At 38.6% G+C, this 26,802-nt stretch overlaps 1 long non-coding RNA gene across 24 annotated transcripts in view; it reads left to right on the top strand.

Moving 5' to 3' along the window:
• LINC01837 (long intergenic non-protein coding RNA 1837) overlaps nucleotides 1-26,802 on the top strand; it is a 234,720-nt gene that overhangs the window by 129,151 nt on the left and 78,767 nt on the right. For 17 of the 24 annotated variants that reach the window (XR_007067222.1, XR_007067219.1, XR_007067217.1 and 14 more), the window contains 4 exons: nucleotides 502-639; nucleotides 1,287-1,328; nucleotides 5,648-5,733; nucleotides 20,039-20,220. This is a non-coding gene — a long non-coding RNA (long intergenic non-protein coding RNA 1837). Of the gene's footprint in view, nucleotides 1-501; nucleotides 640-1,286; nucleotides 1,329-5,647; nucleotides 5,734-12,002; nucleotides 12,098-20,038; nucleotides 20,221-26,802 lie in introns of all 24 variants that reach the window. The other 7 variants (XR_007067223.1, XR_002958400.1, XR_001753912.2 and 4 more) reach the window with 6 other exon arrangements.

Below are 26,802 nucleotides of genomic sequence, written 5' to 3'. Positions count from 1 at the left end.
AGGGTTTCCTCCAAGTTGCTGGTACTTGGGGAACCTTTGTGATTTGGGGCTTAGCAGGCATGATCAGAACGTGTCTAGCCCTCAGGTATGCAGTGTCCACAGAGGATCTAGGCAGAGCACCTACATCTTGCAAACCTGCTGGAGCATGCTGTGGATACAATTCTCATTATTACTTCAATTAAAAGGCACTAAAAATATATTGTTCCTGTGCTGTCTTTCTTAGTTTTGCATTTTGACCTATCCAGCACCATGTTGGTGAATAAATGGGATATTTTAAAGAGCACACTCATTGATGGCAGAACAAAAACGCTGTACTCTTTAGGGTACATGCTCTTTACCAACTCACTCCCCAATGTTCAGGGACAGAGAAAGACATAAACCTGTTTTCTCGTCTCCTGCATAAAGTCTGGTCACCAATAGCAGTGATCTGCAAGGCTACTTGGGAGGCAAACTGATTTTTAAAGGCAAATGTGTGACTTGAAATTTCTCACCTTTTGGCAGATTCTGGGGGATGTCAACACCAGCACTGCTGAGCTGTGTGACCTTGAGCAAGACAGTTAGCCTCTCTGAACCTCAGTGTCCTTCTCTGTAGGCTGGAGATTGATATACCTTCATTATCGGGGTATGAGAGTGTTATAAGTAAGTGCCTGGTACAAAGCTTGGTCCAGTATGGGTGCTTCACGCGTAATAGCTACTATTGTTAGTATCCATTATGATGTGAATAACAGTGCTACTCCTTTGCACATATTTGAGCATTGTAGACACTGAGAAACAGTGGGAGGTGTGCAAAATGGAGCCACTCTTTCCTAGCCAAGGGCCCCAGGAATGTGACCCGTATGGTAAACTGGCATTTTCTCAGCTGAAAATGAAGGTGAAGAGTTATCCAGTCATCTCCTTACCCAGATCATTCGCTGACATAGAAACTGCTGGACAAACTAGTTGCAGCCAATACTTCATTTAATTGATGTCAAAAAGCAAGAGAGAGAGAAAGTATGCTCATAAATATTGTTGCAAGAGTGGGTTTTGGGTCAGTGTTTGGGGAAACTGACCGAGTGATGAATGCCAGGGAATATGGGTGGGTCTTCCCACATGTGGGGGTCCCAGGCACAGTCTCTGGGACTCTGCAATTGCTCTGCTTTCCCTGGAGTGGGGGGACCTGAGGCTACTGCTGGCCCACACAGGACACCGCTCCCTGCCCTTTTTCCTGTATCATTACCCTGAATAAAGAGGTCTCCACCAGGTTGGTGGAAATACACACAACGCTGATGTAGCCATCTTTTTTTCAGGGTGGGATGGTGGAACACGCTGACTGGTCTGGGCTATTCAAGGTAAATGCTTGTTTTCCTGGTGAATAACACCCCTCTCCATCTGCAAAGTGGCCTGGTTGGCACAATAAATTATATGCACCTCAAGTGGCAGGCATTTTAGGCATTGGCCCAGGTGACTTGGAAACCCTACTTAAAGTTACAGATTGGGGTCTGGGCATGGTGGCTCAAGCCTGTAATCCCAGCACTTTGGGAGGCCAAGGTGGGCTGATCACCTGAGGTCAGTAGTTCGAGACCAGCCTGACCAACATGGAGAAACCCCATCTCTACTAAAAATGCAAAATTAGCTGGGCGTGCTGGCGCGTGCCTCTAATCCCAGCTACTCGGGAGGCTGAGGCAGGAGAATCGCTTGAACCTGGGAGGTGGAGGTTGCAGTGAGCTGAGATTGCACCATTGCACTCCAGCCTGGGCAACAGAGTGAGACTCTGTCTCAAAAAAAAAAAAAAAGTTACAGACTGGGAGAAGCGAGATCAAAGAGTCTGTTTCAGGGTTATCTGTGTGCAGCCAAGGCCGTGATCAGCACATGTTCTAAGGACAGTAACAGTGATGCGTTTGCTCCTGGGTATTAACTCTATGCTCATCCTAAAAAAAAAGGAATGTTATAAAAAATGTCACTTAAAGTGTGTACAAGTGTTTACTTCTGGGGAAAAAAAGCTCATTTTAACTCTTGAGACCTAGTTTATTGGTAAATTAAAAAAAATAAAGTCAAGGCTCACATCTATTTTATGACTTGTTGCTCAAGTTGTTCTGCTCTGAAATTCTTCAGAATGGCTTTGGTGAGTGTCAGATCAAAGTCTACATTTATTACATCAGAAGAGCTGTTTCTGCATGGACTTGGCAGTTGTCTAAAAGAATATCAGAAATTAAGAAGAATGGAGCATAAGTAAACAATGATTCTCTTTCACCCTTTGTTTGGAGAGAGTTTTTCCTTGGGAAAAAATGTAGCTGTCTCAGATCCATGTCATTCTAATCAAAATCACAGTCTCACATGTTGTGTTTCCAAAGTCAGTTTCCAAGCTGGGATGCCCTTGGGTGGAGGCTGTGTGGGTGGGTTGGCCATGGGAATGCTCCCTTTCCCCTGCTTGGATGCCCCACCTCCCTGACCACGTATTTCCACTGCCACAAGCTCACATGATGTGGTCACATCATGAAACTGAGAAAAGCCAAGGACCTTATCCAGTCTTTTTTTTTTTTTTGAGACGGAGTCTTGCTCTGTGGCCCAGGCTGGAGTGCAGTGGCGCCATCTTGGCTCACTGCAAGCTCCGCCTCCCGGGTTCACGCCATTCTCCTGCCTCAGCCTTCCGAGTAGCTGGGACTACAGGTGCCCGCCACCACGCCCGGCTAATTTTTTGTATTTTTAGTAGAGACGGGGTTTCACCGTGTTAGCCAGGATGGTCTCAATCTCCTGACCTTGTGATCCGCCCGCCTCGGCCTCCCAGTTATCCAGTCTTACAGGGGCCATGCACGAACACCAGAATGGAGGACTTCTTTCCTCTCTCTCTTTTATTTTTTTTAGAGGCAGTGTCTCACTTTGTCGCCCAGGCTGAAGTGTCTGTACTCAGTGCCTAACATGGTGGTGGGTGGGTGTGCTGCCTGGACTGAGTGAGGTTGCGTTGAGAGACGGAGCAGTCATGATATGACATTTTTCTGTGTGTGTTATTTTAGAGGTGGAAGAGGGTGGCCTGAGTCATCTTAACTTCCTTCTTGGTGTTCCCATTGATTATGGGATTCTGGTGGGGCCATGGACAGATTCTTTGCAACATGTATGCCTGGCGCTTCTGGTAGGGTGGCCATACACACTGACTGGTCTGGGTCAGTGAAGGTAAATGCTTGTTTTCGTGGTATAACCACACACCTCTCTGTCTGTAAAGTGGTCCAGTTGACACAACAAATTATATGATCACCCCAGGTGGCAGGCAATCACGACTCACTGCAGCTTCAACCTCACTTGATAAGTGATCCTGCTGCCTGAGCCTCCTGAGTCACTGGGACTACAAGGCACATGCCAGTGTGCTCAGCTAATTTTTGGAGGTTTTTATAGAGACAAGGATCTTGCTATGTTGCCCAGGCTGGTCTTGAACTCCTGGGCTCAAGTGATCCTTCCACCTCAGCCTCCCAAAGTGCTTTGATTAGAACAGTGAGTTGCTGTGCCAGGCCCTCTTTCTTCTCATTAACACATTCACTCTGATGTGAACACAGTCACCTTTATTCCAGGGGCCCTGAGATGTGTGTCTGGGCAGTGTGCTAGCGTGTACTTAGCTCTCAAGCTGTGCTTTGCTGCTTATTAGCTGTGCTCCTTCAGGCCCATCCCTTTCCCTCTTGTTCCCATTCTCTCACCTTCTCATGAGCACTATTAGGCCTGGATTATGTGTGAGATTTGTTACCAGAAGAGTGGGGAATGGTTTCCCATGATGCCATATGGGTTTGGAACCCTTGCTGTATGTAGTAGCTGCTGAATGAGTGCTTAACAAATGAACGAACACATCGATTGATGAAGGAATACAAGGATGACACAAGGCAGTGGCTGGTTGCTGGTGCTCCCTGTGCCTGGTACAGATGGTGGAGCCTGGGTTGGCTCACCCATTCAGAATGCAACACAGGTGACGCCAGCTGCAGGGTTTCACATCGAAAGGGCCAGGCATACATGTTGCAAAGAATCTGTCCACGGCCTCACCAGAATCCCCCAACCCCCCAATCCCACAGAATTCACAATCCCACAAGAATGGAGTTAAGATGACTCAGGCCACCCTTTTCCACCTCTAGAATAACAAAGCAAATGAGGAAGTCATAACGTGACTGCTTCCTCATGAGTGAGGAAGCAACTTCACTGAGCTCAGGCTGCATACCCACTGCCGTGCTAGACACTGGGGTACTGAAATGCAGAGCCATATTGCCCACCCTCAAGAGCTGGAGGGAAAGTTAAGATGTAAATGATTACCATGAACAATGCAAGTGGCAGAGTCTGTAGCTGATACCTTCCTTTGCCTGTCAGCACTCACCCCTTTCCTTTCTCCTCCCTGTTCTCAGCCCCAGGTGGCTGATGTGCATGATTATATCAAGGGGTGCTGGGCCACATGCCCTCTGGTTGTTTTCTGACAAAGGGGAACCATGGCAAGAGCCTGGAGGGAGGAAGAGAGGGACTGAGGTGAGAGTATTTCATCGGATGAGTCTCTCTCCCTCTGCAATGGCCTTGGGGTAGTTTCTCCCTGGACTGAAAGTCTCTGCCATTCTCAAAACAATGCAGGATTCTCTCCTTCCAGGCCCCGGGGACGACTTCTTCTCTCTTTCTGTTAGGTCCAGACAACAGACACTTATCACTTTGTAGTCTACCCCTTTGTGCATAAACTCTCTCTGGATTATCTTCCCTGGGATGCACCATCTGTTTGGTGCTGGGATCCTGACTGAGAGCAGGCCACTGGGGAGTAGAGGTTCCTAAGGGACATCTGAGGAAGGAGAGGACACAGGACATGGAATGGGGTGAAGGAGCGCTTTAAGGGCCAGTTGGCATTTGAGCTGCCCATGGAAGGTTGATAAGGATTTTCAATGGGGAGGATGAGGGAAAGGGCATTTCACTTGGACAGTATGGTGCTGGGCTGTGAGGCAAGGCCACAATGAATGCATTACATGGGTCAATTTCTTGCAAAACCAAAGAGGATAAATGAGAGTGATGGGGAATAGGAATGAATGGTCATGCTGGCTTGCATTTTGGTAGGGGAGATAAAGAAACCTCTAAAGGTACACTAAGCATGAGGTTTTCCATGGAAATATCCAAGGGAATGTATATAGGGGAAAATCTGTGTCCACACTGGAAATCAGGGAAGGTAGCCAGCCACATCACAACAGTTTGACAACATTTCTATGAAATGTAGAGCTCAAAGCGGCAGACCAGTGATGTGCCTGTCCATCATTGGCAGCATTCATATGAACAATTTACCTGGAAAGGAGTTAAGTAGGAGCCCACTAACAAGGGGTGGGGGCAATAGGGCTGTGAGACAGGCAGGGTGGGACCAATCCAGGTTCCCAGCAGTGCAGAGAGCGAGGAGAAGCCTGGGTTTGAATCCCAGGCTGACTACTTATTAGCCATGTAATTGGGCAAGTTATGTATCCCCTAGGTGTCTCAGTTTCATCATCTGTAAAATGGGTTTAGTGAGAATCCTCGCCTAATAGGTTTGATGTGATGATTGATTGAGATGATCCTTGCAGTGTGCAGACTAGAACCTGATTCAGGGAAGAACTCAACGGATGCTGCTTGGAGTTGCTAATACCCGTGCCCTTGAGTCATGTGTTAACACTGAGAATTCCACCCTTGTGTTCATTCCCAGATCCATGAACTGGAAGATGCTTTCTTATAACTCAGAGAAAAGAGATGAAAATGAATCAAAGAACAGGAAGGAGACAAGCTCAGGAGGTAAGTCCAGAAAATTCAAATCACATGCGCTAGAAATTCCAGAAGGAAATAGCAGAGCAGACCAAAAAAACAAAAAAAAGTATTTGAGCTCAATAAAAACTTTAGCTTTTAGATGAAAGCTCACTGACTACCTGAGAACCAGTCATAATTAATGAACAGCTCCCCATGGAGATAGTGCTCCATGACATTTTTGAAGTTCAAGAGTAGACAATACAAGTCAGGAAGAAGGGGCAGAAATTAAGTTGCTATCTGAATTTGCTTCTGCAATGCTAAATGACAGGAGGCCAGGCAGAATATAGAGATTTGCAGAAAGATGATTGCTTCTCAATAATGGTACAGAAAGAGCTGAGTAGAAAAATCTAGAAGATGAGCATTTGTCCCACTCTTTTCAACAACCATCATCGTGAAAAAGGGCTTGTTCCAGATTGACATAAAATAAGGGAATAGCCACCCAGATTGCATCTATTTTGGGCAAACTCACTTTAAAAGACAATTGGGGAAATTTGAGTACAGCTTGGGCATTTAATGGTCGTATTAGTCCATTCTCACACTGCTGATAAAGACACACACGAGACTGAGTAATTTATAAAGGAAGACAGATTTAAAGGACTCACAGTTCCATGTGGCTGGGGAAGCCTCACAATCATGGCAGAAGGCAAAAGGCACATTTTACATGGCAGCAGGCAAGAGAGAGAATGGGAGCCAAGTGAAAAAGGAAACCCCTTATAAAACCATCAGATTTCATGAGACTTATTCAGTGCCATAAGAACTGTATGGGGGAAACCACTCCCATGATTCAATTATCCCCCACCAGATCCCTCCCCCAACACGTGGGAATTATGGAAGCTACAATTCAAGATGAGATTTGTGTCAGGACACAGCCAAACCATATCAATGATATTACAGTTTAATGCCATGGACAAGTAGACATTTATTTATTGAATAAAAGCACGTTGCAAAACAATGTACACAGTATAATCTTACTTTGATAAAATGCACATCTATGTGCATAGCAATAGATCTGAGAGGACATCATCTGAGTGTTAACAGTGGTAATCTCTTTAGTAGTGGAAATATGGTGGTTTTATTATCTTACTTTTACTTACCTATATTTTCTAATTTTCTACTGTGTACATATACTGCCTTTGTAATAATAAGAGGTTATTTTTAATTGAAAACACAATTTTACATCCTCTCAGACTATCATTCCTGAGACAACCTTGAAGATTTTGAAATATGAAAGTACTTAGGAAGTATACCACCCACGTGCCCTTCATTTAAAAAAACTCAAAGAAATGCTCCAGCTGAATGAAGGGCATATAAATAATACAGAACTCAAGAAATGGGAAGATGTAGTGAAAATGAAATGGCACAAAGCACTAAAAAGGAAACAATATTTATTCAGGATAATTGTGTTAAATATGACTATGGAGTTTATGGCAAAGGCGAAAAATAAGTTATTTAGTGGAAATATTTAAATTCCATATATATCAACTAAGATTGAGAATACAGAGTGTATGGTATTAAGAGGGTACACAGAATTATCATTTTACATAAGACGTTCACAGAATTTATCATTTTACATAAGGGTGAGTAGAGAGATATTGTACATTTTCAATGTTGATAAGTAGGAAAAAATATATTTTCTCAAAATTTTAGTCCAACCATGTGAGTATAGTAATAAGATGCTTAATTTCCATATTACTAATTATTTTGAAAAGAGCAAACGAAACTAGGTCCACAAACAAAAGTTTAAAAAAATACCCACAAGTGCTGGGCACTGTGGCTCACTCCTGTAATCCCAGCCCTTTAGGAGGCCGAGGCGGGTGCATCACGAGGTCAGGAGATCGGAACCATCCTGGCTAACATGGTGAAACCCCGTCTCTACTAAAAATACAAAAAATTAGCCAGGAGTGGTGGCGGGCGCCTGTAGTCCCAGCTATTCGGGAGGCTGAGGCAGGAGAATGGCGTGAACGCAGGAGGCGGAGCTTGCAGTGAGCAGAGATTGTGCCACTGCACTCCAGCCTAGGCCACAGAGCGAGGCTCTGTCTCAAAACCAACCAGCCAACCAACAAACAAAAAACAAACCCACAAGTAATAAGCAGAAAACAAGTGTTAAATAAGGAGGTAGAAGAAAGACCAATCCTATCAAATATGACAAAAATCATGAATCAGCTATTCTTTCTATAACAGCCGCTCGAAAGATGTTTCCCGATTAAATGGGAGGTGAATCAAAATCTGTAAGTCAGGAATAGAGAGTATGAGCTACAAAAAGTCTAAAATAAGAACAGAAATCCAGCTAAATGTTTAAGTCTATATAATTGGGGTCAACGTGGCTATTACACAAAATGCAAAATAATGCGCAATACATAAAATAACAATTGCTAAAAATGACAATAGTTTGGGCTTAAATATTTCTAATGAAGAAAGCTAAAAAGGGTGGAGAAGAACAATATTCATATTCTCATTTTACAAAGATGATCTAAACATAGTATCTCCTGTGTTCAGTTCATGTAGAACCAACAATTATAAAAATAAAGGTAAGTTGGCCAGGCGCGGTGGCTCATTTCTGTAATCCCAGCATTTTGGGAGGCCGAGGCAGGCAGATCACCTGAGGTCAAGAGTTGGAGACCAGCCTGGCCAACATGGTGAAAACCTGTCTCTACCAAAAATACAAAAATTAGCCGGGCATGGTGGCACTTGCCTGTAGTCCCCTCTACTCGGGAGGCTGAGGCAGAAAAATCGCTTGAACCTGGGAGGCAGAGGTTGCAGTGAGCTGAGATGGTGCCACTGCACTCCAACCTGGGTGACAGAGTGAGACTCTGTCTCATAAATAAATAAATAAATAAAAATAAATAAATAAAAAAATAAAGGTAAGTTGTCTTTTATTTCTGTTTAACTTTATGAAAGTATAACACACACACAGAAAAGGACTGTACGATCAGCTCAATGAATTTGCACACAATGAACTCAGCTGTGTAATAAGCACTGTAGATCAATAGGAAGAATATGACTAAAACCTAGAGGGTACTTCTTGCTTCCTTCCCAAGAAGGAAGTTTCTGCCCCCGCCAAGGGTAATCACTATCCAGACTCTTGTTAAAAATAATTTTGAGTCATAGAGTATGCATTTATTCTTCCAGATTCTATCCCTCAACATTATGTTTGTAAGATTTCTTTGGAGAAGGCAGTTGTCGATTTTCTGTTTTCTCTGCTGGAGGGCACCCCATTGTATGATGCATCACAATTTCCTTATCCATTCGACTGTTGATGGCATTTCAGGAGTTTCCAGTTTTTGATTAATATGAATGGCACTGCCATGGATCTACTAATACTTTTTTTTGTTAAAAATATCTGTGCATTTTGGTTGCATATGCACTTAGGAGTAGAATGGCTCAGGCAAAGATACACAGATGGTCAGGTTCAGTAGATACTGCCAAATACTTTTCCAAAATATTGCAATTTTCACCATCAAGAAGGGTGCATGAGAGTTCCAGTTCATCAATATACATCAGCATTTTCTATTCTTTCAATTTTAGCCACTGTGATGATTAGAGCATTGTATTTTAATTTTAATTTACACTTCCCTGATGACATTTTACATTTCCCTGACTAGTATTAAATGCCTTTTTATGTGTTTATTGGTCAGTTAGAAGTCTTTTTGTGAACTATCTGTTCATGTCTTCGGACCATTTATCTATTTAAAAAATATTTTTTTCAAATTAACTAGTACCTTTTCGATAAAAGACCTTTGCTGGAGATGTGTGTGTGTGTATATGTGTGTGTGTATGTTTCTTCTACCATGCTGTGGTTGGCCTTCTTATTCGTCGTATTTGTGGTGTGTGTGTCTCCTTATTAAGAATTTGTGTGTACTTCACAAGGTCAAGAGATAGAGACCATCTGGCTAACACGGTGAAACCCTGTCTCTACTAAAAATACAAAAATTAGCTGGATGTGGTGGTGCACACCTGTAGACCCAGCTACTCAGGAGGCTGAGGCAGGAGAATCACTTGAACCTGGGAGGCGGAGGTTGCACTGAGCCGAGATCGTGCCACTGCACTCCAGTCTGGCAACAGCAAAACTCCATCTCAAAAAAAAAAAAAAAAAAAAAAAAAAAAAAGAATTTGTGTGTACTCACATTTGCAAGATGTTTTTCTCTTAAAGTTTTACTGTTTAACATTTTACATTTAGAGCTGCAGTCCATCTGGAATTGATTTTTGTGTATGATGTGAGATAGGGGTCAAGATAAATTTTTTTCTCTTCTAGATATTCAATTAGCTTAGCACCATTTATTGAAAAGGCTATACTATGGAGTTGATTTTTCATAAATCAGGTGGCTGAATATTGGTGTGTTTTGTTTCTGAACTCTTTCTTCTATTTCACTTGGGGTTTTTTGATCTATCTTTGCACTAATATCACACTGACCTATTTATTATAGCTTTATTAAAAGTCTTAATATGTGGTAATGTGAGTTTTGCAGATTATTTTTTTCGCCTTACAATTTCCTTGGCTATCGTAGGCCCTTTGAATTTTCATAAACATTTAAGAGTCATCTTGTAAATTTATATATAAACACACACACACACCTCTGCTTAGATTTTTGGGGGATCGTAGTACATTTGTAGAGCAATAGGGCAATTTGGGAAGCTTTGTGTCTTTACAAATCAAATCTTCCATTTATTTAGATTTCCCTTTGGTTTCTCTCAATAATAATTTGTAGTTTTTAGTGAAGATGTCTTGCACATTTTTATTAGATTTATTTCTAGATATTTCTTGTACTTTGATGCTAATGCAAGCATTAATTTTTAATATTTTATTTTCTGTTTGTTGATGGTATATAGAAATAAAATTGATTTTTGTGTATTTCCTGGTATTTAGCACCTTTCCTAGGTTCTATGTTAATTCTAATTGTATATAGATTCTTTTGGATTTTCTTTGTACACAGTCATGTCATCTGTAAATAATGGTAATATTTTTCCCCAAAATTGACGTGTCTTATATTTATTTTTCTTGCTTTATTGCACTGGTTAGAACCTCCATTAAAATGTTTAGTAGAATTAATAAAATTGGGCATGCTTTTTGTCATTTATGATCTCTAGGAGATCTTGTATTTCTAGTTTTTTAAGAAAATTTGTTTTTAAATAATGAATAAGTAATGTATTATTATTTTTCTTTTCCTCCTTTTAATCCAAAGGTAAGGATTTGAAGAATGAGCTAAAAACCAAAACGTCTGTATACCTAAGTAGAGAAAATAAGGTGCAACAATTATAATGGCTAGGACAATTTTTGTTCTTTCCACCTTTGAATATGAGATCTAACACACAGCATTTGCTCAAAAAACGTTTGTTAAATGAATGAGTGGTATTACATTTTTTTCAGCGATCAAAACCAAATAGAAATAGAGGCTTTTTTACTACTTAGGAGAAACAACAAAATCAAATTTTCAGAGAAAAAGTAAGAATAATGGGATAGACAAGGGCATGCTAAGAATATACAAACCAAAGAAAGATGCACTGACAATATTAGGTACTGGGAAAATAAAATGTAAAATAAAAAAATTTAACGGACTATAGTTATCTTACTTCAATAAAAGATCCACTTTATTATAAAGTTAGAGTAACCATGAACTTTTATGCCCCACTTAACAACCTCTAAATATATAAAGCAATTTTTAAAGTTGTTATTGGAAAACCAAAATTATAGTGAACAATTAAAACTGACCATTCAGTCTTTGGCAAAGCAAGAACCGTATTAAGTAAGAATATACAAAAATTGATTATGTGATTCATCTTTGTTATTATAAAATTCATCTTGATTTGCTTGACAAATGTGTAGAACTTATAAGGAATATATAAATGTTTTTAATATCTTTAAAATGGTCATAGAACTTTTCACCACGTTTTATCATAGTGACTTATACAGGGCTGTGGTGGTAGATTCTGATATGGTCTGGCTGTGTCCCAACTCAAATCTCATCTTGAATTGTAGCTCCCATAATGCCCATGTGTTGTGGGAGAGACCCAGTGGGAGGTAATTGAATCGTGGGGGCGGTTTCCCCCATACTGTTCTTGTGGTAGTGAATAAGATCGGATGGTTTTATAAGGGGAAACCCCTTTCTCTTGGCTTTCATTCTCTCTTTCCTGCTGCCATGTAAGATGTGACTTGCCTTCTGCCATGATTGTGAGGCCTCCCCAGCCATGTGGAACTGTGAGTTCATTAAACTTATTTTTCTTTATAAATTACCCAGTCTTGGGCATGTCTTTATCCACAGTGTGAAAACGGATTAATACGGATTCCATTAGCAGAAGCAGTTTTGGTGGGAAAAAGATGAAGGGTGAAGAGGACTTTTACCTTAAAACAATGAAGGTGCAGTTGTTTACACTCCACTTTTCTTAGATCCGGTAGTGATGACCAGATGGAAGTACAAACAAAAGAAAAAAAGTTAAAACAAATACACAAAAAAATCCTATAGAAAGTCGAATATAAGAGAGTAGGGAGCAGGTCTTCAACCAGGGTGAAAAGGTATTCTGAATCAGAGTGGATAGTAGTATGCTTGTGCATGAATAATTCAAAAATAGCATGGACCAGAATGTGCAGCAAGAGATTGGCAAGGAGGTGGAAGGTAGGTGGCCTGAGAGGTTCCTGGCTCAGAGACAACCTGGCTGCCAGAGAACAGGGGAGTAGAGTTGGTCTAGAAGTAGGTGGATTTGTTGGAGGTCATTGTACAACCTAAGGATGGTCCTTTCCTGTTTCTTCATGCTGAGTTGAATTCAGGTTGCCGGAATTTATTTTTCAGGGAGAGGTAAAGGGGACCCTTACACCAAAACACAGGCAAGAAAACAAACAAACAAACAGAACATATTTCCTGAAAAAGGCTATGTCTTTCTGTTTGAATGACAATGCATAGGACTGACTGAACTCCTCATTTTGGTAGGTATCAGGTGTCTCCTCCCCCCACCCTCCCCTGACTTACCCGCTCTTCCAACCCCCTCCTCACCTAATCCAAAACCTGTTATTCAATTTTTTTTCTGCCATTCTCTGCCTCCCAAAGAACTCTTAGCAGAATCTTCACTTGGAGAACTTGCCTTGCAGGAAGCTCACCCACCTACCTCACCCTTCTTATCTATGAGTAGACAACCAAGGATCATCAGAGATGTGTGTGTGTGTGTGTGTGTGTGTGTGTGTGTGTGTCTGTGTAGCAGGTAAAAGAGAAAGGCCAATGTAAGATCAAGATAAAACAAATGTTCTGAAAGCACATTCAATGTCTTTCAAGAAGAGGTTACATTCAAGAACAAGAATAGTAGCCTAGGGAGAAGGATCACTCAGAAAACAGAAAATGTCTTAGAGATTAAAATAATGATTGCCAAAATAAAAGAAGCAATAAAAAGTCTGGAAAGAGGAGAAATTATAAGATGAGAGATATGAGAAATAAAGGATCAATCCCAAGAGCTCTAATGCCTATTATTGGATGTACTAGCAGCAGAAAACAGAAGATGCTGAGAAAGAAAATAATGGTCAGGAAACAATAGAAGAAACCGCCCCCAAAGGATAGTAGTCTTTATATTGGAGAAGTTCTCTGAGTTCTCAGAACAGCAATGAAAAAGACGTTATGGCTGGATTTATCATGCAGCAATCCCAAGGCGCTGGGAGTAGGGTGTGGAGAACAGGCCTGGGAACACTGCAGCTCTCAGTAAGTGTTTGTTAACATCATTGTCATAAAAATTAAAACAAGAGAAAAAAGTCACCTCATGAGAATCAGACTGTGATTTGAGTTTTCAAAAGTAACAATTGGATGCTAGAAGACAATGCTTTCGACATTTGGAGGAGAAGAAATAGTGGGACCGAAAATCCCATGCGTAGTTTAGCCATCACTCAAAAGTGGAATTTGGTCCAAGGGCAAAGACTCAGTGAAGACTCAGAAAGCTGATCTGCTAAGCACCCTCTTAATCAATCAGCTTTATGGAAGTAAGATTTACATAGAATCAAAGTTTCCATATTTAATCTTGGAATTTGATGAGTTTTGACGCATGCTTGATTATGACACAGAACAGTTCCATTACTCCAAAAAGGTTTCTTCTACTGGTTTTTGTTCTGAGAATTTCATAGAAATGGAATCATGGCAAATATTGTCTTCTGGGGCTTCTTTCCCTTGGTGTAACACTTTTGAGATTCATCCATATTGTTTAGTGGATGAGTAATTCATTCCTTTTTCTTGCTGTGTAGTATTCTATTGTAAGACCATAGGAGAATGCGCTTTTCTATCACTGGAAGAGGCGTGTTTGGGTTGCTTCCAATTTTGAGATATTATGCCCTGATCATCTGTATACTAGTCTTTGTGTGAATGAATGTTCCTTTGCGTTTAAGTAAATATCTAGGCGTGAAATGGCTGCACTGCATAGAAGCATATGTTTAATTTTATAAGAAACTATCATACTCTTTTCCAAAGTGGCTTTTCCACTTTGTATTCTCATCAGTAAAGGATGAGGATTCCAGTTGCTTTACATTTTGGGCAGTATTTGACATTCAATTTTTTCTTATTTCCATAGTTTCAGGAATACAAGAGGTTTTGGTTACATGGATGATTTGTATAGTGGTGAAGTCTGGGCTTTTAGTGTGCCCATTACCTAAATAGTGGACATTGTACTAAATAGGTAATTTTTCATCTCTCATCCCCTCCGACCCTCCCCTCTTCTGAGTCTCCAATGTCCATTATACAACTTTGTATGCCTTTGGGTATCCATAGTTTAGCACCCACTTATAAGTGAGAACATGCAATATTTTTTTTTTTTTTTGTTGTTGTTGTTCCTGAGTTATTTCAGTTAGGATAATGGCCTCCTGTTTCATCCAAGTTGCTGCTAAATACATTATTTCATTCCCTTTTATGGCTGAGTAGTATTCCATGATGTGTATATACCACGTTTTCTTTATCCACTCATTGGTTGATGGGCACTTAGGTTGATTGTATGTCTTTTCAGTTGTGAATTGTGCAGCAACAAAAATGCCTCCAGGTGTCTTTTTGATACAGTGACTTCTTTTCCTTGGGGTACATGCCCAGTAGTGGGATTACTGGATCAAATGGTAGATCTACTTTTAGTTCTTTGAGAAATCTTCATACTGTTTTTCATAAAGGTTGTACTAACTTACATTCCCACCAACAGTATATAAATGTTCCCTTTCCACAGCCTCCGCACCAACATTTATTTGTTTTTGACTTTATAATAATGGCCATTCTGGCTGGGCACTTGGCATTTTTTACACCATTCTAATAGGTGTATGATGGTATCTCACTTTGATTTTAATTTTCATTTCCCTAATGTCTAATGATGTTGCACATTTTTTCTTATGCTGATTTGCCATCTTTAAACATTCTTTTGTGAAATGACAATTAAAAAATTTTGCTAATTTTTATTTTTTATTGCACTGTATGAGTTCTTTATATATCCTGGTTACAAGTCTTTTATGAGATACTGTTTTGTGAAAATTTTCCCCCAGTTCTGGCTTGCTTTTTCATTGTCATAATGGTGCCTTATGAAGTATAAAAGTCTTTAATTATAATAAAATACAATTGATCATTTTTTGGGGGTCTTTCTTTTCGTGTATCTAAGAAATCTTTGCTTAATCTAAGGTCACAATAACTTTCTTTTATATTTTATTCCAGAATATACACAATCAGTTCCTACATTTAGGTCTACAATTTAGTTTGAGTTAATGCTTGTGTCTGGTGTGATGTCAAGTTCCTTTTTTTATTTATTGCACATGGATGTTCAATTTTTCCAGCACATTTTTTAAAAAGACCATCCTTTCCTTACTGGATTTTCTTAGTACTTTTGTTAAAAATCAGTTGACCATGTTTGAGCGGGTGTATTTCTGACCTCTTTATTTCATTCCGTTAAGCAGTAAGTCTGTCCTTTAACTAATGCACACTGTCTTCACTACTGCAGGTTTATAGTAAGCTTGAAATCAGGTAATATGAGTTATTTAACTTTGTTCTTTTACAAATTTCTTTAGCTAATCTGGATCTTTGCGTTTCCATATAAGTAAATACACATGTAGACATGTACATTATATATATATATATATTATATATATATATATATATATATAGCTTTTATTTTTTTGAGATGAGTTTTGCTCTTGTTGCCCAGGCTGGAGTGCAGGGGTGTGATCTCCACTCATCGCAACCTCTGCCTCCTTGGTTTAAGTGATTCTCCTGCCTCAGCCTCCCAAGTAGCTGGGATTACAGGCGTGAACCACCACGCCCAGCTGATTTTTGTATTTTTAGTAGAGATGGGGTTTCTCCATGTTAGTCAGGCTGGTCTTGAACTCCTGACCTCATGATCTCCCCCCCTCAGTCTCCCAAAGTGCTGGGATTACAGGCATGAGCCACTGTGCCTGGCTATATATATATATATATATATATATATATATATATATACACACACGTATATATATATACATATATATATGTATATGTATATATATATATGTATGCACATATACACACACACATATATATATAGCCAGGGGGAAGATATATATATGTATATATATATATGTGTGTATATATATATATATATATATATATATGTGTGTATATATATATATATATATATATCACACACACACATATGTGTATGCTTGCCAATTTCAACAAAACTGCTGTTGGGATTTTGATTAGCATTGCAATGAATCTATAGGTTGATTTGAAGATAACTGACAATTTAATACTAGTAAATCTTCTGATCCATGGATATGTCATCTCTCTCCATGTGTTGAGCTTTTGTTTACTTTCTTAGAGCCATACTGTGTAGTTTTCAGTTTATAGGCCTTGCACCTACCTTGTTAAATTTATTCCCCAGCAGTTTCTATTTCTGAGGCTATTGTGCAGGCATACCTGATTTTATTGTGCTTTGTTTATTGTCCTTTGGAGATACTGTGTTTTTTACAAATTGAAGATTTGTGCCAACCCTGTGTTGAGTAAGTCTATCAGTACCATTTTTCTAATAGCATGTGCTCACTTCAGGTTTTGGTGTCACATTTTGGTAATTTTTGCAATATTCCAAACTTTTTCATTATTATTATATCTTTGATATTATTATTGTAATTGTTCTAGGTCACCATGAACTGCACCCATATATGACAATGAATTTAGCCCATAAATGTTGTATGTGTTCTGGCTGCTCCATTGGCTAGCCATTTCCCCTTCTCTCTCCCTTTCCTTGGGCTTAGATATTTCCTGAGACACAGCAATATTGAAATTAGGACAATTAATTACCCTACAATGGCCCCTAAGTGTTCAAGTGAAAGGAAGAGTTGTGCATCTCTCATTTTAAATAAAAAGCTAGAAATGATTAAGCTCAGTGAGGAAGACAGACAAAAAGCAGAGCTAGATAGGCTGAAACCTAGGCCTCTTACACTAGAAAGCCAATTTGTGAATGCAAAGAAGAAGTTTTTGAAGGAAATTAAAAGTGTTACTCCAGTGAACATGTGAATGATAAGAAAGCTAAACAGACTTATTGCTGATATGGAGAAAGTTTTAGTGGTCAGGTAAGAAGATCAAACCAGCCACAACATTCCCTTAAGTCAAAGCCTAATCCAGAGCAATCCCCTAACTCTCTTTAACACTATGAAGGCTGAGAGAGACAAAGAAGTTGCAGAAAAGTTGGAAGCTAGCAGAGGTTGGTTCATGAGGCTTAAGGAAAGAAACCATCTCTATAACATAAAAGTACAAGGTGAAGCAGCACGTGCTGATGAAGAAGTTGTAGCAAGTTACCCAGAAGATTTAGCTAAGATTATTGATGAAGATGGCAACATTAAACCACAGATTTTAAATGCAGACAAAACAGACTTCTATTGGGAAAATAAGCCACCTAAGACTTTCATTGCTGGAGAAGAGAAGTCAATGCCTGGCTTCAAAGCTTCAAGGGCAGACTAACCCTATCATTAGGGGCTAATTCAACTGGTGACACTAAGTTAAAACCACGGCTCACCAGCTATTCGGAAAATTCTAGGACCCTTAAGAATTATGCTAAACCTATTCTGCTTGTGCTCTAGAAATGGAAAAACAAAATATGATCGACAACTCACCCATTTACAGCCTGGTTTACTGAATATTTTAAACCCATTGTTGAGACCTACTACTCAGAAAAAAGATTTTTTTGTTTTCAAAATATTACTCCTCATTGACAAAGCACTAGTTCACCTGAGAACTCTGATGGAGATGTACAAAGAAATTAATGTTGTTTTCCAGCCTGTTTAACGCAACATCAGTGCTGCAGCCCATGAATCAAGGTGTAATTTTAACTTTCAAGTCTTATTATTTAAGAAATACATTTTGTAAGGCAATAGCTGCCATCAACAGTAATTCCTCTGATGGATCTGGGCAACATAAATTGAAAACCTTCTGGAAAGGATTCACCTACCTAGATGCCATTAAGAACATTTGTAATTCATGGGAGGAAGTAAAAAAATGAACAATAATAGGAGTTTGGAAAAAGTTGACTTTGAGGGGTTCAAGACTTCAGTGGGGAAAGTAACTGCAGATGTGGTGGAGCTAGCAAGAGGACTAAGATTAGAAGTGGAGCCTGAAGATGGGACTGAATTGGTTGCAATCTCATGCTCAGAACTGAATGGATGAAGAATTGCTTCCTTACGGTTGAGCTATGACAGTGGTTTCTTGAGATGGAATCTATTCCTGGTGAAAATGCTGTGAATATTGTTGAAATGACAACAAAGTATTTAGAATAGTGCATAAACTTAGTTGAGAAACAAGTGGCAGGGTTTGAGAGTATTTACTCTAATTTTGAAAGAAGTTCTACTGTAGATAAATGCTATAAAACAGTATCACATGCTACAGATAAATCTTTTGTGTAAGAAAAAGTCAATCGATGTGACAAACTTAACTGTTGTCTTATTTTAAGAAATCGCCACAACTACCCCAACCTTCAGCATCCACCACCCTGATCAGTCAGTAGCCATCAACGTGGAAGCAAGACCCACCACTGGCAAAAGGATTCACATATTAGTTCTAGCTTGTTTTGGTAGAGTCTTTAATATTTATACACAGATAATCATATTCTCTGCAAATAAAGACAATTATGTTTCTTCCTTTTCACTAGTATGACTATTTTTCTTTTCTTGCAGTGTCTTACTGTCTAGACCAGTGTTTATCATACATGTGGTGATATTTGATGCCCTTGCCTTTTAATTTATCCTAGCAGAAAAATGTTCAGTGTTTTGCCATTAAGTATTTCACAATTCAGAGGTTGAGAAAGCTCCCTTCTGTTCTTGTTTGCTAAGAGATTTTTATTGTTGTTGTTGTTGTTTTGTTTATTTTTTACCAAGAATAGGTGTTAGAATTTGTTGTTTTGTGCATCTATTGAGATCATGATTTTTCTTATTTAATTTGTTAACACTGTGAAATACATGGATTTTTGACAATTAAGCAATCCTGAATTTCTAGGATAAATCCCATTTTATATATATATATATACATACATATATATATAGTGTGTGTGTATATATATAGTGTATCTATATATACACACATACATATATATATACAAAATATGTATATATTCCCATGCATACAAATATGTATACACACAAATATATATGTGTGTGTATATATATATGTATATATATATGTATATATTACTAGATTGTATTTGTTAAAGCATTATCACGTTTTTGAGGAAAATTGGCTTGTAGCTTTCTCGTGATGTTGTAATGTTTAAGCAAGCCCCTCCTTAAAAAGGGGTATGGATATGTCTCTAGGACTATGAGGAACTAAATCAAGAAGAGAAAGATATATATCTATCTAGGAAACAGGGAGACACTGGTCTGAGGTCCCTGGATGACAGCCATGCAGCAGTTGAAGTAGGCAAGTGGTTTATTGTAGGGGATAGAGGAGAGGGATTTGGAAGGAGAATGTCAGAATATGATAGAATAAAAAGTATCTGAAAAGTTTTTAAAAAAATAAATATGACAAAAGCAAAAAGCACCCCCCCAAAAAATGCAATTATAAACTCCAGGAGAAAAACAAAACAGAAATAAAACAACAAAAACAAAAAGACTGCAAGAATGTCATATATTGAATAGGAAGCCAACAAAATTGCTCTGTTATTTTAAACACTTGATGCAAAAAATTAGATTCCACTTCATTTTTGAGCTAGGAATATTCTTCTCTGAATCTCCAGGGTCTATGGCATTGAGTTTCCGAGAAGAAGGTAGAATTCTGGTACATTTTTTGGCCTGCACTGAATAGTTTCATTGTGATAATACTGATTCATGGTTTTCATGTTTTAGAGTCACCCTAAGAAGGATGTGTGGAAGACTTGACTGGAGGATCAAAATGTGTCGGGGGAAGGTGTACAAGGAGGAGTAAGGACACAGATGTCCTGACTTCACACAGTGGGGGATTAGAAGCCACCATCAAACACAGATGAAACAGGAATAAAAGTAGTAGTACATTACTTAAGCTTTAAAAGGTAACCAATGGAAAAACCAACATAACATGCCATAATTGTAAGACATGGGGAAGGGAATAAAAAAGCAGAGGGTATATATGTTAGTTCCATTTTGAGATGTTTATCCAGTATTATTCTGCTGGTCAGCTGCAAGTGTACAGGAAGCTTGATCAAAGAACAGACTGAGAAGAAAAGACATTTGCCAGGTTTGAGGAAAGAAACTGAGGGAAAAATAACACCAGTGCAGAATGTACAAAATAGAAGTAGCAAAGAAGATAATTAATACTGCAGAAACCTGAGTCAGGGGCTGGGAGTATGAACAGGCTTTAGACAATCTTGGAAGATGCAAAGGAAAATGAAAAATAAATAACAACCACGAGAGAAAGGAAGGCATATATGGAAGGCTACTGGGGCATGCTCGCCATAGCAACACGTGGGCTGACCGACCTAGAGCATACAACAAGTGGAAACCAAAATAGCATGCAGTTATACAACAAAAATCATCCTGAAATGCAGGAAAAACTAAATTGACAAAAATGACTGGGCTTACTGTGTTCTGAATAATATATGCAATAATGCCTGGTGAAAATTATTAAAATTCAAGGATGAAGCCAACAAACACCCAGGTCTGAAAAACAAATCACAAAGAAAATTTAAAATCCTGGTTTGGTCAGAATTTCCTCAGCAACATCAGATCCCAGAAAGTCTGAGAAAATAGGTCAAGAAAATTTGTGATGGAAAAACATGTGATCTGAGAATACTATATTCAGTCCACTTGTTTGTCTTTAGTAAAAGCTGTAGGAACAAGTCTCCAACATGCGAGGACTCAGAGGATGTATCACCCATTTGCTTTTTTATTTTAGCAAACCAAAAGATCCACAAAAGAAGAGGCTGTTTTATGAAAGGACTGATCATAGAACCGAGCCAAATAGCACCGATAATTAACATTACAAGACAGCATCAAAATATTCTTATTCTAGGGAGAAAAGCTGCACAATATAGAAATAATTATAATATAGCTAAAATTAGTAGGGTCAGAAATATCAGAGCATAGCAATTTAGAGAACAGTGTGCGATGAGGATGGCGCCAGATATAATGATAGTATGCAGAATCTTCATCTTTTGTAGAAAATACTAAAACATCTTGCTTCATATCTGAAACTGATAATTGATAATACATGTTTAAAGATTTTACATAAAGTTAAAACATAGCCACCACCAGAAATATAATCTAACTGTACTACGTCCAAATTACCAGATGGGAAAAAAATAAAACAGACCTCATATAGAGCAAAAGAGAAAAAAATAAAGAGGAAGAAAACATTAAAAAGAGAAAGCATAAAATAAATACAGCAAAGTAAGAGTAAATATATCTGCTGTAGCAACAAATCTTGATTTAATAGTTAAATAATCTTATACTTGTCCAAAACCCACAAGTTTTGCAGGTGTTGTATTAAAGAGAGATATTTAACTATGAATGACCCAGTCTGAAGGTAAAAGTTTGGAGATGTCATACAAATACAAGCAGAAATAAAGTGGGGGTAAACACAATAATATCTGAACGAGTTAAATTCAAGTTAAATGCTGATTAGTAATACATTACAGCCCTTGACAGCACAGATTCTGCCACATACATTGCTGGTGGAAATATAAAATAGTGCAGCCACTCTGGAAAACAGTTTGGCAGTTCCTCAAAAAGTTAAACATAGTCTTACCATATGACCCAGCAATTTTACTCCAAAGTGCATATCCAAGAGAACTGAAAACATATGTTCACCCAAAAATGGGTATATGAATGTTCATAAAGGTATTATTCATATTAGCCCCAAAGTGGAAACAATCCAAATATCCGTGAGCTGATGAGTGGATAAATAAAATGTGGTATATCCATACAATGGAATATTACTCAGCTATAGCGAGGAGTAAAGTAGTGAAACTTGCTAAAATGTGGATGAGCCTGAAAGCATTACGGTAGATGAAAGAAGCCAGGCACAAAAGGCCACAGTCATGTGATTCCATTTATATGAAATGTCCAGAATAGACAAATCTATATAGAGAGAAAGCAAATGAGTGATTGATAGGGGGTGAGGGATGTGGGGGTGAGGTCAGTATTTTGCTGATGGTACAAGATTTCTTTTATGGGTAATGGAAATGTTCTGGAATTAGTTAGTAGTGATGGCTACACAACACAGTGAATATACTGTAACTCACTGAATTATATTATATTTAAAGTGGCACATTTTATAAGTGAATTCTATCTCAATACAAATAATTTTAAAAAGAACAGAAAATCTGGAACTTGGGATGAAGAACACTTCTGACCCTCTCTTTATGGTGCCTAGAGCTTGTAACTGAATGTCTCTGTATCTTAGTTCCTAACCTGTATAATGAGAATAATAATACCTAGCTCATTGGTTGTTGCAGGGATTAAATGACTTAATATTTATAAGATGCCTGGTGTATTAGACCATTCTCATGCTGCTACTAAACACATACCCAAGACCAGGTAATTTATAAAAGAAAGAGATCAGTATGGTTGGAAAGGCCTCAGGAAACTTACAATAATGGAGGAAGAGGAAGCAAACATGTCGTTCTTCACATGGCAGCAGCAAGGAGAAGTGCCTAGCAAAAGGGGGAAAAGCCCCTTATAAAACCATCAGATCTCATGATAACTCACACACTATCATAAGAACAGCATGAGGGTAACTGCCCCCATGATTCAATTACCTCCCACCAGGTCCCTCCCATGAAACGTGGGGATTATGGGAACTACAATTCCAGATGAGATTTGGGTGGGGACACATCCAAACTATATCACCTGGCATAGCTAGCACTATATAACAGTTGTTACATTAACATGTAAAAAGTAAACAGGTCTAAGAGCATCTCAGAGTGGTGTAAATAACAATTCAAAACAAAGGAGCAACTGTCTTGGGTGGTTATGAACAAAATTACAAAATACTAACTTTGATAAAGGACAAAGGAGAAATGACAAACTCTACAGCTATAACCATGGTGCCTAGTGCATCTCTTAGCCCTTGACTCACCAAGCTGACCAAAGAAGTCTAGCCACTGGCCCCACACCAATGCATGGACCTCTACAGGGGAGTCCACATCCTTCTCACAGAATACAAATTAGGCCATCAAACTGTTAGTAGATTCAAAAACTAAATACACTACAAGTTATATTCATTGACCAATTTAGGAATAGTATCTGATAACAATAGAAAATGCCCTTTTGTTATTCTAACCATTTATCCATTAAAACAATAACACTAGTGTTCAAAAATCAGAACAAAACTAAACCTTTAGGCTGAAGATTAAAACAAAACTGCAATTATAGAGTATCTTGTACTCAGTACAGTATCGAGAGGAAAAATTCGTATTCTTTACCCTTTAAGAGTCAAACAAAACAAAAAAGACATGAAATTAAGTAATTCAGAATTAAGAATTACTTAATTAAGAATTCAACTCAAAAGGGGGACTAAAAAGCAACACATTAGACCCAAGTAGTGATAAAAGCTGAAATGTGATGAACTGGGAACCAAATAAATAAATAAAATAAAAATAAGAGCCAGATTAAACTATGGTAAAATAAATAAACTATAAAACCTAAAAATATAAAAGCATACTATTAAAAAGTATGCTTTTTAATAGTAAAAGAAAGTAAAAGAACCACAGAGAATTGAAAGACAGAATAGACTATTTGTAAAATTCTGATGTAAAAACTTTGAACACGTGGATGTAATGGATAATTTTATAAGCAAAGATACAGATTAATCTTGATTAAAGAAGGAGAAAAGCTAAATAGACAAATACCATGGTAAACGTTTGCGAAAGAGCCACTCTCATATAGCTGTAGGCGTAGGCATTCTCCTTCTTTTAAACTTTCAAAGCACATCTATGAAAAATCAAGATAATTCTCTCAAGAGAATTCTCATAACACAAAGAACATAAATAAATCTTTCAAAAACAATACCTACCATTAGGCTTAATGGCAAAAAATCAAAACATTTACAGTAAAGTGAATAAGAAGACACAGGTGTCTTCTATTACTATAATTATTTAACATTTAACAAAATTTTAAAAGCTTTTCCTGAATTTTCACAGTAAAATAGATATAGAAGTATCTTTCTCTAACTTGATTAACAAAGATTTGTATCTCAAATGACAGACAGCACCAGGTGAGACACTAAAGAAATCCTTTAGGCCAGGTGTGGTGGCTCACACCTGTACTCCCAGCACTTTGGGTGGCCAAGGCTGGCTGATCACCTGAGGTCAAGAGTTTGAGACCAGCCTGGCCAACATGGTGAAACCCCGTCTCTACTAAAAAGTACAAAAATTAGCTGGTTGTGATGGTGCATGCCTGTAACCCCAGCCACGCGGGAGGCTGAGGCAGGAGAATCTCTGGGACCCAGAAGGCAGAGGTTGCAGTGAGCTGAGATTGTGCCACTGCACTCCAGCCTGGGTGACAGAGTGAGACTCTGTCTCATAAAAATAAAATAAAATAAATTTAAAAATATAAAAGACATAAAAAGAAATCCTTTCAAATCAATATTACAAGTATGTGCTTAATCATTGCTTTTATTTAACAGAATTCTGGAATTGTGAGGCAATGTCATTAGATAGGAAAGTGACGTAAGAATATATATTGAAAAGCAAGAGGCATACATCACTATTTGTCGATGATATGATTACGTAGCTGAAAAGCCTAAGAAAACTGAAAAACTATGAGCCTCAGCCCTTGATTGCAAAATATTGGTGGGTACAGACTTCGTCTGTGGCACTGGAGATACAGGAGTGAGTTGGAGAGAGTCCTGCTCTCCTGGAGTTTGTGTTTCAGCTGCGGACATGGCAAGTGGCATAGAAAAAAACCAACAAGTGTATAATGTAATTGTCAGAGGCATGTGGACCAGAGCAACTCCATCTCGAATAGGAGCTGGGTAAAATGAGGCTGAAACCTACTGGACTACATTCCCAGATGGTTAAGGCATTCTAAGTCACAGGATGAGATACGAGGTCGGCACAAGATACAGGTCATAAAGACTTCGCTAATAAAACAGGTTGCAGTAAGGAAACCGGCTAAAACCCACCAAAACCAAGATGGCCACAAGAGTGACCTGGTCCTCACTGCTACACTCCCACCAGCACTATGACAGTTTACAAATGCCATGGCAACGTCAGGAGGTTACCCTATATGGTCTAAAAAGGGGAAGCATGAATAACCCACTCCTTATTTAGCATATCATCAAGAAATAACCATAAAAATGGGCAACAAGCAGCCCTCAGGGCTACTCTGTGTATGGAGTAGCCATTCTTTATTCCTTTACTTTCTTGATAAACTTGCTTTCACTTTACTATATGGACTCACCCTAATTCTTTCTTGTGTGAGATCCAAGAACCTTCTCCAGGGGGTCTGGATCGGGACCTCTTTCCTGTAAATAACATCATGTATTGATAGAGACTACAAGGAAAGACCAACTAGGGGAAGAGCCTGGAGAACAATGAGGATGTTGTGCTAGGCAAGGAGGCAAGGGACTGCAACTCCCCTAAGTTACTTCCAACGTGAATGCAACGCCAGTCAAAACCCTGATGCAACTTTGGGAGGCCAAGGTGGGTGGATCACCTGAGGTCAGGAGTTCAAGACCAGCCTGGTCAACATGGCGAAACCCCATCTCTACTAAAAATAAAAAAATTAGCTGGGCGTGGTGGCGCATGCCTGTAGTTCCAGCTCTGGGGGCTGAGGCAGGAGAATTGCTTGAACCTGGGAGGTGGAGGTTGCAGTGAGCCGAGATTGTGCCACTGCACCCCAGCATGGGCGACAGAGTGAGACTCCACCTCAAAAACAAAACAAAACAAACCAAAACACCCTGATGCAATCCCTTCCATTCTCAATCTCTTCTCTCCTTACTGACTTTTTGAAATTGATAAAATAATCTTAAAGTTTATCTGGAAAAGTAAAAGTGGAAGAGTAGAACTAATGCTCTGAATAAAGAGTAATGAGGATGGGAGTGGAGGGAAGTAAATGTATTATATTGAGATATTTAACAAAGTATATTATTAAGCAACTAGAATCAAACTAATGTGGTACTTTCTCCTTAAATACACAATGAGATCCATGAAATTGAATGCAAAGATTGAGCACATACTTATTATATTACCGATTTTAAAGAATTTCTTTAGTGCCTCACCTGGTGCTGTCAATTTGAGAGAGGAATATTTGTTAATCAAGTTAGGGAAAGATACATCTATATCTATTTTACAGAAAAAATTAGGAGAAGCTTTTAACATTTTGTGAAATGTTAAATAATGGTAGTGAAAGATGACACCTATGTTTTCTTACTCATTTTATTACAAATGTTTTGATTTTTTTGCCATTAAGCTCAATGTTAGCTATTGTTTTGGAAAGATGTAAATGAGCTGAGTGTATAAGAAACTTGGTGTCCTAGCTATAGCAGGTGTAACATATTCAATGCCATTTCCGCAGACCTAAAAATGTTAATACAAATTAACACATTTTATTTATTCACATACTTCATTTTAAGTGTGATTGGAAATTTCATATTTTTCAAGTACTGCACTTAATAAATCCAACAATCATAT

This window comes from Homo sapiens, chromosome 19 (assembly GCF_000001405.40).
Source record: "Homo sapiens chromosome 19, GRCh38.p14 Primary Assembly".
Lineage (NCBI taxonomy): Eukaryota > Metazoa > Chordata > Mammalia > Primates > Hominidae > Homo > Homo sapiens.
Note: the sequence above shows the minus strand (reverse complement) of the source record. Positions and strands in the feature narration are given on the sequence as shown.